We start from the raw sequence: 12,168 nt of genomic DNA, 5'->3' as shown, positions 1-12,168 counted from the left end.
TTTTGACCATTCTGAAATAAGAAAGTTGATCTATATATATCTATGTATCCTATAACATCATGTTATAAACCTCAAATATAAAGAATAAAATTTATTTTAAAAAAGAAAGAAAATATCTTGACAGTAATTTCATCTTTGGCCTATTTCAGGCTTTATATTTAATTCAACACAAATGTACTTCATATTCACTATAACATCTTTTTTCAAGATTTACTGATCTCCTGAGTCAATACAATCCATATAGTTAGCACCAATAGATAAGAACTATAATTATATTTTACTTTGTACTTATATTTTATGAATATTAATTCCCAGTTAGATCTTTAAGGTTCCTATTTTATATTTCAGTGTTCAGCAGAGTACTGAACAAACACATAGGTAATACTAAATTGCTCCAGTTTACAATAACTAATCAACTGATTGGTTTTAATCTGAATGGTACAGACAGAATTAAAACATTTATATTTTTAATAGTGGGTAGCTCCATATTAACACTATTAATCATTTTAATCAATAACATGTTTGCTTACTAGATGAAATTCCTGTTTTATGAGTGCTATAAAATAGATGGTGAAATAAAACAAAAAATGAGATTTTCTTCTTGAAGGAAAAATGGAAAATGTAACTTAGTTCTGGATTTTATTTGTTCATAATTGAGTAAATTTATTTTACTCTAGTGCAGGTATTTTATAAATGAAATGTATTCTTTTTTTCAGGAAAGATATTTCTTGATTGACAAAATCCCCAAGATAACTAAGTAAATAAATTATATCAAAGTGGTTTATTTAACTAAATGTTAATAAACTATCTTCTTGAACATGAAATCTTTTCTACTGAGATACAGGGTAGAAATATTTATTAAAATAAAATATTTCATTTTATATATATTGTATATGTATATTGTATATATTATAATAGAAAGAATACAGAATTTTTTTTTGTAATTGATTAATCTCCATAATACTAGATTCATCACACATTTCCCACATGTACCTGTAGCCATTATAGTGTCATCTCTCCCTTGGGTGAAGATCACGATTCGCTGCCTCTTTGAGTTCATCTTTGGCAGGGCTTGTGTCTTTTTGGCTATCTCTTTAATGTCTTTAGTCTATTAATAGAAGGAAGGAAAAAATTCTCATGACCAATAAAATAAAACAAAACTTTATTAGTAGATTAACAATTTAGCTTCTATTGATCAAAATAAGAGACCTGCATATCTATTAAGAGACATTAAAAATTTCTTTAACCATATACAAAAGTAAATAGAATAGCACAGTGACTTCCAAGGAACCCATCAATGATCTACACAAATTTAAAATGTATGATGAATCTTATTTCACCTATATCCTCATCCACTTGCTTTTCAAATTATTCTAAAGTAAACTCCAAGAACTATACATAATTTCATCTATAAATGTTTTAGTATATATCTTTGAAAGGTAATGATAAACATAACCACAAAACTATTATCATACTTCAAAAATTATTAACAATGACTAAGTATCAGCAAATATCCAGGCAGTTTTCAAATTCCCAATTAAAGAGAGGTTTTTATAAAGAGGAAAATTTAATTATTTTAGAGGTTTACAGAACATAATTATGCTGACTTTGGAAAAAATACAGTTCTTATAATGTCAATTTTTCAAAGGACTGATTTGAGAGAAAGAAATGCTAATCCTTTCCTACAAAGACTTAATTTTCTTTAAAAAAGATAAAGTTTAAAAAATGACAAACTAATTGTCAAACTCTGATGCTGTTTTTCACACCACATAGGCCATAAAGTTTTACTGAAATCTTTATTGAAGTTTTCTGAAATCTTGAAACCTAACCTTGAGCTAAAGGCAGAGGTTTTAGAATCATCTTTTCAACCATTTTGGATAATTTGAAAATCCATGTCTGTATTCAGTGGGCTTTTAAAACTGTCCATAGTTTTGGGCTTTGCTAACAAAACTAGTTTATTCTATCACTATGCAAAGTTTCAAATAGTTATAGAGAAAGAAACACCTATCAGAGCGGAAATATAGCTGAGTGGCATAAATAAAGTATATATAAGAGAACAAATAGAATATATGAGAGAGAACATTTAGGCAAGCAAAGCAGACAAGTCACAATGGTTTGCAATCGTTACAAACGTCACCAGAAACTGGCATTTTTAAAGGGATGACAATTAGTGGTGAAATATTTTTATATTGTTTGTTCACTCAATATTTAATAAATTCCAGATAATATATGAAGCTAAGCTTCTAATATACCTAACAGGATGACTTCTAGAGGACAGTTGTTTCTGAAAAGAATAGCCATTTGTAGTAGGACAGTGCTGCTGACTTCAAACATGCTGACTATTTCGCTTTCGGTTGCTTATTTTAGAACAGAACTAAGTCTGAACTCTGATAAGATGAGAAGAAATTCCCTCAGTTTCAGGAGACAGACTTTTAGAAATGACTAGTAACAGCTGAAAGGACCAAAAAATGCCATGCAATGTCTTCACTCACCTAAATAAGTGTACACATATAATTAAAATGACTCATGTATATTTTGGCAATTTCCTTAGCACAAATATATTTTACTACTATAGGATTTTTGCTTGTGATTAAGTACAGCTCATATTTAATAAAGATAAGAGAAAAACACATTCACTTCATCATCTTGAAAGCAGAATCTTATGAATGTACTAGATGTTCTTTAAAAGAAAGTCTTTCTTCAAGGTGATATAAGGAATAAATTAAGAATAAGATTCTGGCTGGTTATAGTGGCTCACGCCTGTAATCCCAGCACTTTGGGAGGCCGAGGAGGGCAGATCACGAGGTCGAGAGATGAAGACCATCCTGGCTAACATGGTGAAATCCCGTCTTTACTAAAAATACAAAAATTAGTTGGGCATGGTGGCACGTGTCTGTAGTCCTAGCTACTTGGGAGGGCTGAGGCAGGAGAATCGCTTGAACCCAGGAGGCAGAGGTTGCAGTGTGCAGAGATCATGCCACTGCACTGCAGCCTGGTGACAGAGCAAGACGCCATCTCAAAAAAAAAAAAAAAAAAAAAAAAAAAGGAATAAGATTCCATGGTTGCTTTCTACCAACCCTGTGAGAAGACATATTTTGTTGAGAGCTTTGGTAATTTAATCAAAGAAATGTTTCTTATGTCTCAAATTAAACCTCATAAAATGGCAATTAAAGGACAAAATAAACTTTCCAAGTACAAAACATAATTCTTCCCAGATGTATGTAAAACTTTATTTCTCCTTCTACAGTAATTCCTCTCCTCTGTCCCCAATAGGTTCTTCTCCCTTACACTTAAGCTCACACATCTTAACAAACAATGAAATTACAAGGACTTTTAGAATATGACAGGCTTGGATTTACTATTTGTATGATTTGGGGCAAGTTAATAAACCTCTCTAAGATCCATTTCCTCATCTACAAAACTAAGAAAATGTTCACATTAAAAGATTTTGAGGGATAAGTATGCTAAGATTAGTGGGCAAAAATTAAAGAAAACAGGATATTTACAGTCTCAAAGTATGTCCCCCTAAGATATTCATTACAAAAGGAAAAATCATAATGTTATAGTAGAGAAAATTGACAGACATCACCTTAAGCCAGATAGATTAGTTTAGTGATGCTAAAATTAGTGGATAAAATAGAATGTTTCCATAGCCCCAAAGTAGTATCTCCTCCAAGATATTTATTAAATACAATGGGAATTACAGAGGATAAACTAGCAAACACCACCTAAACCTAGTGATAAAGGTTTAGCATCACCAGCAATAAGAATCTGTGACACTGTGTACCTCCCTGATATGATGCACCAAGAAAGGAACATCACTTCTGTGGTTTTCCTGCCAAAAATGCCTAATCTCAATGTACATGAGAAAACATCAGACAAACTCAAATGGAAGGACATTCTACAAAATGACTGACCAATAATTTTCAAAAGTATAAAGTTCATGAACAACAAGAGTGAGGAACTGTCACAGATTAGAAGAGACTAAGGAGACATGACAAATATGCAATGTGGGATTCGATTCTGGAACAGAAAAAGGAAACTAGAGAAAAAACGGTTGAAACCAGAATAAAGCCTGTATATAGTTCAGTTATTGTAGTTTAATGTTAATTTTCTGTTATTCATTATACTTTGGTTATGTAAGATGTTAATATTAGGGTAAACTGGGTGAAGGGTATGTGGGAATTCTGTACTATTTTTGTAATTTTTCTAAGACTAAAGTTATTTTAAAATAAAAAGTTAAAAATTGTGAGGATGAAAGAAGATGAGGTAAGTGAAATAGCTTAATGCAATTTTAGCACATGCTAAGAACTTAAATATTAATTTATTTCCTCTAATTACTCTCATTTTAATACTCTCTAAAATGGTTACATACTTAGGTTGCCCCAAAATCGCTAGAAAGGGCTTCAAGAGTTTTGAATATGGAACATTCAATTATAGTATCTATAACGAAGAAGATGAAGACAGGGAGGAGTAAGAAGTATGAGTTGAAAGCTCATAAAATTGAGCTGTGAGCCATGTACATAGCTCTAAAGTGCTCATTAAATCTTAACTTCTCTAGTCAGTAGGTACTATTATTATCCCTATTTTATAGATGAAGAAACTAAAAGCCATGTATAAAGCTCTAAAGTATTCATTAAGGTAAGGCGTGGTGGCTCATGCCTGTAATCCCAGCACACTGGGAGGCGGAGGCGGGTGAATCGCTTGAGCCTAGGAGTTTGAGACTAGCCTGGGCAACGTAGTAAAACTTCATCTCTACAAAAAAATACAAAAATTTGCTAGGTGTGGTGGCATGCGCCTATAGTCCCAGCTACTTAGGAGGCTGAGGTGGGAGGATGGCTTGAGCCTGGGAGACAGAGGTTTCAGGGAGCTGAGATCACGCCACTGCACTCCAGCGTGGGCAACAGAGCCAGACCCTGTCTCAAAAAAAAAAAAGAGAGAGAGAGAGAGAATGACATTGGAATTTTGATAGGGATTGCATTGAATCTACAGATTGCTTGAGCCCAGCAGGCAGAGGTTGCAGTGAGCTGAGACCGTATCATTGCATTTCAGTCAGGGCAACAGAGTGAGGCTGTCTCAAAACAATCAATCAACCAATCAATAAAATAAAGTACTCATTAAATCTGAACTACTCTAGGCAGTAGGTACTAATACAATATGCCATTTTATAGATGAAGAAACTGAGTCAGAGACGTTAAGTAATGTGCCTAAGGTCATAAATACAAGTAGTGGAGAACAGACTAGCACCCACAGTCTGACTCCAAGGATAATACACTTAACCATTATTATAGTGCTTCTATAAATGCTAGCAATGTGCTTTTTGTTGTTTTTTTTTATCACAAAACTATAGCATGTTCATCCTAAACCATTTTCCTACCACATTCACAAGTCATTCCTGATCTTGTGTTTAAGTTTGCTATTTTTTCTTAATTAATTTGGCTCATATTTTTACTCCAGCGAATTTCAGTGGTTTTTTTTTTTTTTTTTTTGAGATGGAATTTCGCTCTTGTTGCCCAGGCTGGAGTGCAATGGTGCGATCTTGGCTCACTGCAACCTCTGCCTCCTGGGTTCAAGTGATTCTCCTGCCTCAGGCTTCTGAGTAGCTGGGATTACAGGTGCCCGCCACCACACCCAACTAATTTTTGTATTTTTAGTAGAGACGGGGTTTCACCATGTTGGCCAGGCTGGTCTCGAACTCCTGACCTCAGGTGATCCACCCACCTTGGCCTCCCAAAGTGCTGGGATTACAGGCGTGGGAGCCACCACACCCGGCCATATAGCCTATTTTTTTAATCTGTTGAACTGATATGGCGATGGGCGCGGTAGCTCACGCTTGTAATCCCACCACTTTGGGAGACGGAGGCGGGCGGATCATGAGGTCAGGAAATCGAGACCATCCTGGTTAACACAGTGAAACCCCGTCTCTACTAAAAATACAAAAAATTAGCCGGATGTGGTGGCGGGGGCCTGTAGTCCCAGCTACTCGGGAGGCTGAGGCAGGAGAATGGAGTGAACCCGGGAGGCGGAGCTTGCAGTGAGCAAAGATCACGCCACTGCACTCCAGCCTGGCGTGACAAAGCCAAACCCCCTCCCCAAAAAAAAAAAAAAAAAAAAAGGTATTTTTCATTTCTCAAAGTCATTTTGAAATCTAATCTCCTCTTCCAACATGTTAGAATGTGTGAGAGAAAGCTGTGTGCTTTATAGTAAAGAGCACCAGACATAGAGAGCTGAGCTCTGGTTCTGGCTACATAATGTATTAGCTATATGACTTTGAAAAAGTCATAGAGCCTTTTTTTTTTTTTTTTTTTTTGAGATGGAGTTTGGCTCTTGTTGCCCAGGCTGGTGTGCAATGGTGCAATTTCAGCTCACTGCAACCTCCACATCCTGGTTCAAGCAATTCTCCTGCCTCAGCCTCCCAAGTAGCTGGGATTATAGGCATCTGCCACCATACCTGGCTATTTTTTTGTATTTTAAGGGGAGATGGGGTTTCACCATGTTGGCCAGGCTGGTCTCGAACTCCTGATGTCAGGTGATCCACCCACCTTGGCCTCCCAAAGTGCTGGGATTACAGGCGTGGGAGCCACCACACCCGGCCATATAGCCTATTTTTTTAATCTGTTGAACTGATATGGCAATACATGCCCTACCTATCTCTCAAGGTTTGTGCAAGTATGAATGTATTACTGATATGTTGGGAAAGGTTTTATAAACTGTGAGCATTTTATAAATGTAGAAATATGGTTTTATTGTCATTGGTGATCACATTGTCTTCCAAATCAAAGAACATACTCTCTTCATTCTTTTTTTTTTTTTTTACCTATTTGTATCTTTGAATTGAAGATACATCTCTTTCAGACAGCATATAGTTAGACCTCAGTTTTTTTATCTAGTCTGAGAATTTCTGCCTTTTTATCATATTATTTACTCCAGATTAACATTATTATTAATGCAGTTGAATTAATATCTGCCATTTGCTATTTGTTTTCCATATGTCATATTTTAAAAAAATATGTTCTATCCCTTCTTTACCTCCTTGCTTTGTATGAAATAGGTATTTTCAGATGTAGCATTTTAATTTTTTTTTTATTTCTTCTGTTACACACACTTCATTTGAATTACTAGTAGTGTTACTATTACTAGAAATTTTTTTTAATCATACTTTAATTTCTGGGATACCTGTGCAGAACATGCAGCTTTGTTACAGAGGTATACGCGTGCCATGGTGGTTTGCTGCAGCCATCAACCTGTCATCTACATTAGTTATTTCTCCTGATGATATCCCTCCCCAACCCCCCACCCCACAACAGGCCCCGGTGTATGATGTTGCCCTCCCTGTGTCCATGTGTTCTCATTGTTCAATTCCCACTTACGAGTGAGAACATGCAGTGTTTGGCTTTCTGTTCCTGTGTTAGTTTGCTGAGAATGATAGTTTCTAGCTTCATCCATGTCCATGCAAAGAACATGAACTGGATTCCTAAAGGATCTAGAACAAGAAATACCATTTGACCCAGCAATACCATTACTGGATATATACCCATAGGATTATAAATCATTCTGATATAAAGACACATGCCCATATATGTTTGCTGCAGCACTATTCACAATAGCAAAGGCTTGGAACCAACCCAAATGCCCATCAATGATAGACTGGATAAAGAAAATCTTTATTCTATTTTTAACCAGCTGGTTATACAAAGGTTAAGCAATCCTGTCACAGTCTACCTAGTTCTGTAGAAAACCAACTGTAGTGTTTCCACACATTGAGTCATCTAGCCATACCATTTTGTTTTGTTTTCCAAATAGAAACTCCTTTAATAGTTATGCTGTTTATATGATGTGTCAGTGCCAGATTGATCTCATATGCTGTCCCCACTAACTCCATTCCAGTCACACTGGCCTTCTGTCAGTTCCTGGAGTACATAGTACATTAAGTTCTCTCTCGTTCAGAGACTTTTATAGTCCTGTTCTCTCTGTTTGAAATTTGTTTTGCTGTTTGTGTCGCTTTTTTTTTGTCATTGCTAGATATTCATATTTTTAGGGTCATTCCATAGCCATCATAGCTAAAATGGGAACCCTTCCCACATGCTCTTTCATGGTACACTCTCTGGTCACTTCCACCTTGTCTTGGGGTCTATCAAAGTGGTATGTACATAGTAAGAACTCAGTAAATATTTGTTGAATAAATAAATGATTAAATGAAGAGAATTAGAAGACTAGCTTATTGCTTTCCCTTAACTGAACTGTTCTAAAATTGTCCTCTTTTGGGGTTCAGGCACCTACAAAAACAACACTGCACTCTCTTAGCCAGCAGGGCCTGATTTAGGGTCTTATTTTCAGAAACTCTGAAACTCTGAGTGATCATTCATTGCACTATTTATATTTGTGAAGAACACAGGAACCTAAAAGTCACCTAAGGTAATTCTTTGGTAATCAACACTGCCTGAATACATTCTCTGTAGACTTTCTATCCATGCTGATCAATGAAACTTTCTGTGATGATGCATATGTTCTATCCTGCATTATCCAATAAAGTAGTCATTAGCTACATAGTCTATAGAGTACTCAATATGTGCCTAGTATGACTGAAGGACTGAATTTAAAATTTTACATTTGATCTTAGCCAAAAGGCCAAGAAGTGATGAATTTTAAATTTTATTTAATTTTAATTAATCCTAATTTAAATAGCCACATGTGGCTAGTAGATGCTGTATTGGATAGCACAATTCCATACTTTTCTCTTTCAGTGGTGTAAGATGAAAGAATCCTCATTGGTCAGAGAAAGACTACAAGTCTAGGATCTTCTGGGTAGTCAGGGGCTATGGAGGAAGTGAAAAAGGCGAAAAGGATTGCTTTGTTTCCCCTATGAGCAGAAGTATTATTCTTAGAGATCTAAAATTTAAAAAAAATCTAAAATTTATTACTTGGAGTAAAAGGAAATAAATGATCCAATAGAGAAGGTATGAATTCTCTTCATCATTTGTCATTTACTCAGTTGCAGAGACAATGAAAAGATAGAGAATATATATATTTAGGTTTTGAGGTATTTTCTTCACTTTATTTAAATCAATTTTCAATAGTTTAAAAAAGGCTTTATAATGAAACATGCTTTTGAGCACCTTATTTTTATTTATGTTCTAAAAATACGAACATTTAATCAGTTCGGCTCAAGAAAAGCTAGATTTAAAAACACACTCCAGTCTGAACTGATTTTCTAGAATAATAAAAGGCCTTATAAAACTTTTTACCCCAAGAATTGTCATTTTAAATTCTTAGCAGGTCTGTCATTTAAATCAGGCACTATGCAATTTTCCATCACCTATATATATAAAAAAATCCTCTCTTATGCTTTGTGTTCTGCCCAGCTCCAGTTTTTATCTCATTCTCCAGTGCTCTCCTAAGCTGCTGCTTCTCACTGAAAACTGCCGAATTCAGTTTAAAGATTTTTTTTTTTACAAAAGTAAAATTTGCAGAGAAGCTAACCAGAATAATAATCAATTAAAAAAAAAATGCCACTGAGAATATTTCCTGACGAATAAACACTGGTTATTTTTAGAGGCGCTTGGATTGGTCTGTCAGCAGCCAGATCACTAGTGGCAATACTCAGTGGCTTTTGGAACTGATTGGGATTTATAGGAGAAAATGAGGGTAGGACAGCGGCACTGATGGAAGGAAAAAATACTCACCTTTCCTTTCTTTTAATCTTTTCACTTCTTTCTTCTCATTCATGCTCCAAATTTAGAGTCAAAATTAAAGTTAGAAGGGATAAAATGCAGATTTTTGTCTAGTTTGTCACACTAGCCAAGAGTATTAATGCATTTTCACACAGAAAACTATTAAGATAAAGTGATTTATTTTTGTTTTATTCCTTAAGAATACCAAGTTTCAAACCTATGCTCTGCCATTTCTGTCTAATGACCTAGGAAACTTTAGTGACATTATAAAATCATTGAATTTCTCTAGATAGTGTTCCATACATGGATTACATTTGATTAAAAATATCTATTTGAGGGTACCCTACTCATGGTTCAAATATATTCTGCAATGCTTGTGATGGTTTTGGGAATCTACGAAGAGACACATCAAGACACTATGTGCTTTATTTAGTCTAACATATCACTGTCAATATCACTGACAGAGCAGTTTTGCTATGTCAGGAGGTAATAAGGTATGTGATTATAATCATTATCATTTTGCTTATATGCTGTAATCAATTATGGCAGATTTATGGCAAAAACAATTCAAGAATCAGTAAGTAAGAACTAATGGAAAGGTGAATATAGTGCTAGTTAATGGAAAATAGAAAAAGTAGTTTGTTGCTATGACTGAATGTAAACCAGGCACATGAAAAGCAAGTAGCTCAAGGGGGAAATAAAAGTATTAATCAGGCTTAATAAACTATTTTTTAAAAACTGCTATGTAGATACTACAGGATCATGATCATGTTATATAACAAATTATATTTCTAAGTATCTGCAAAATTGGTTATTTTATAGAACCAAAAATACATTTTTTATGGTAACACAGTAAACTGACAGGATACAAATGTATGTTCTGAAAGTTTTCTTCTATGGAGAATTCTGATGTATCAACAGATAATATAATTTTTGTAATATTAAAACTTAAAATCAGTAAAACTTTAAAAAATTCCTGAAAATTTTTATTTATATTCTCATGATCAAAACATTTGACTTTTTAATTGAATATTCCCATGATTACATTTTGTCCTACATATAATTGCCAGTTTGGGAAATTAAAATGTGAAACTTAAATTAGAAAAAAACCCACCACTTGGAAATCCTTTTTCTAAATGTGACTTAAACCTAGATTTACTATAATATGGTAAAGCATAAAAAAGCAAACTTGTAAGAAACTATCACAGCTCCTAATAATTGAGTACAAAGAAGCAAGTTTCCCTACTCTGGAGTAGTTCTTTTATAGGATCTTCAGAACAGAATATCTGTATCACATGTTCCTTGTCTTTCCTCTATGAAGAGGAAGCTCTATGTCTCGTTTGTCAAGTCTGATGACATGAATAACATGAACATGTATTACTTTGCTGCTTGATAATCTGCCTTTACTACATTTAAAAAGAGTTTCACAAACTCATATAATATCTTTCTCTAGAGTTCAAAGTGAGCTTACTAGTCCTTACTGATACTATTCAATCACCACTCACCTCTTCCCTGTTTGATAGACAATACTGAATATGCAAATAAAAAGAAAGTTCCTACATTTCGGCTGTGGTTAGATTAAATTTTTAAAAATTACTACCCTGTAACACTTTAAGTTGCTGTAAGAACACAGCATTCTACATAGTTCACTCAATAAATATCATAGTCATAAACAACTCCAACTTAGTTAATTCTCTGTCAGTTAACCTGGGTTCATATTAGTCAGTGTTTTCTAACAATCAGTTGGAAGAGGGGTATTATACAGATAAAAAACACGGTTATCTCAGTTTTGCCAACAACAACCACATGGAGTTTTGAATCTTGACAGGATAACACTTATATCAGAAAAACAGAATTAGGACCTAGAAATTAAATCCAATTATTGATATTTTATTTCAGAAAATGTATGTATATTTTATGCTACCTCCGTCTCCCCAGAAAAAAAGAGGGAGAGAGAAGAAAAGATAGGTTCAAAGAGTAAGTTTATAAAAGCAGGATTTAAATTAATCAGTTCCTAACAACTGTTAAGTACAACCTTTTAGAAATTAATTTGCATAATGATAATCTACATGTGATAGGGCTGAAATTATTTAAACGACATTATATTTCATTATTTAGTCTTGTTCCACCACTGCTTTAGCAGTGAATCCTTATGAAATGTAATGCAGCTAATGAGGTAGCTTTTTAACTGAACAAACTGACAGGCCCCATATCTGCAGAGGCAGCTTGAAACCGTGCCCAACCTCTTGGCTTCCCAAGAGGCTTTTCAAAATTCAATAAATAACATCTGTAGGCGATGTTGGGTGCAGACCTAGCAGAGTGCGTCATAACACTGTGCTGGCAGAACAAAGAAACCATGACGACTGCCAAGTTTCCATGGCAACTGCTGCGAGGCTCTGAGAGTATAATAGCACATCAATCACTGTCCAAAAGAACTTCATTATCAGCTAGAAAAAACCTTTAGGATCTGTTTAGTGTGCAATTGTGGGTTAACTCA

The 12,168-nt window shown here is 34.6% G+C and overlaps 1 protein-coding gene and 1 long non-coding RNA gene across 14 annotated transcripts in view; both read right to left on the bottom strand.

The window, feature by feature from the left end:
• The window catches only part of ADK (adenosine kinase), a 558,070-nt gene that overhangs the window by 107,804 nt on the left and 438,098 nt on the right, over window positions 1–12,168 (bottom strand). For 9 of the 13 annotated variants that reach the window (NM_006721.4, NM_001202450.2, XM_017015698.2 and 6 more), the window contains one exon: window positions 994–1,108. The exons of the other annotated variants lie outside the window; for them this stretch is intronic. In NM_006721.4, the coding sequence (NP_006712.2) occupies window positions 994–1,108 (115 nt within the window). The remainder of the gene's footprint in view (window positions 1–993; window positions 1,109–12,168) is intronic. 13 annotated transcript variants of the gene reach the window in all.
• On the bottom strand, window positions 6,140–12,163 carry LOC124902457 (uncharacterized). Its single transcript, XR_007062199.1, has 2 exons — window positions 9,684–12,163; window positions 6,140–8,816 (listed from the first exon to the last, which is right to left on the bottom strand). It is a non-coding gene; the product is annotated as an uncharacterized LOC124902457 (long non-coding RNA).

The sequence above is a fragment of the Homo sapiens genome, chromosome 10 (assembly GCF_000001405.40).
Source record: "Homo sapiens chromosome 10, GRCh38.p14 Primary Assembly".
In the NCBI taxonomy this organism is placed as follows: Eukaryota; Metazoa; Chordata; class Mammalia; order Primates; family Hominidae; genus Homo; species Homo sapiens.
The sequence above is the reverse complement of the archived record's forward strand: the minus strand, read 5'-3'. Positions and strand labels throughout refer to the sequence as shown.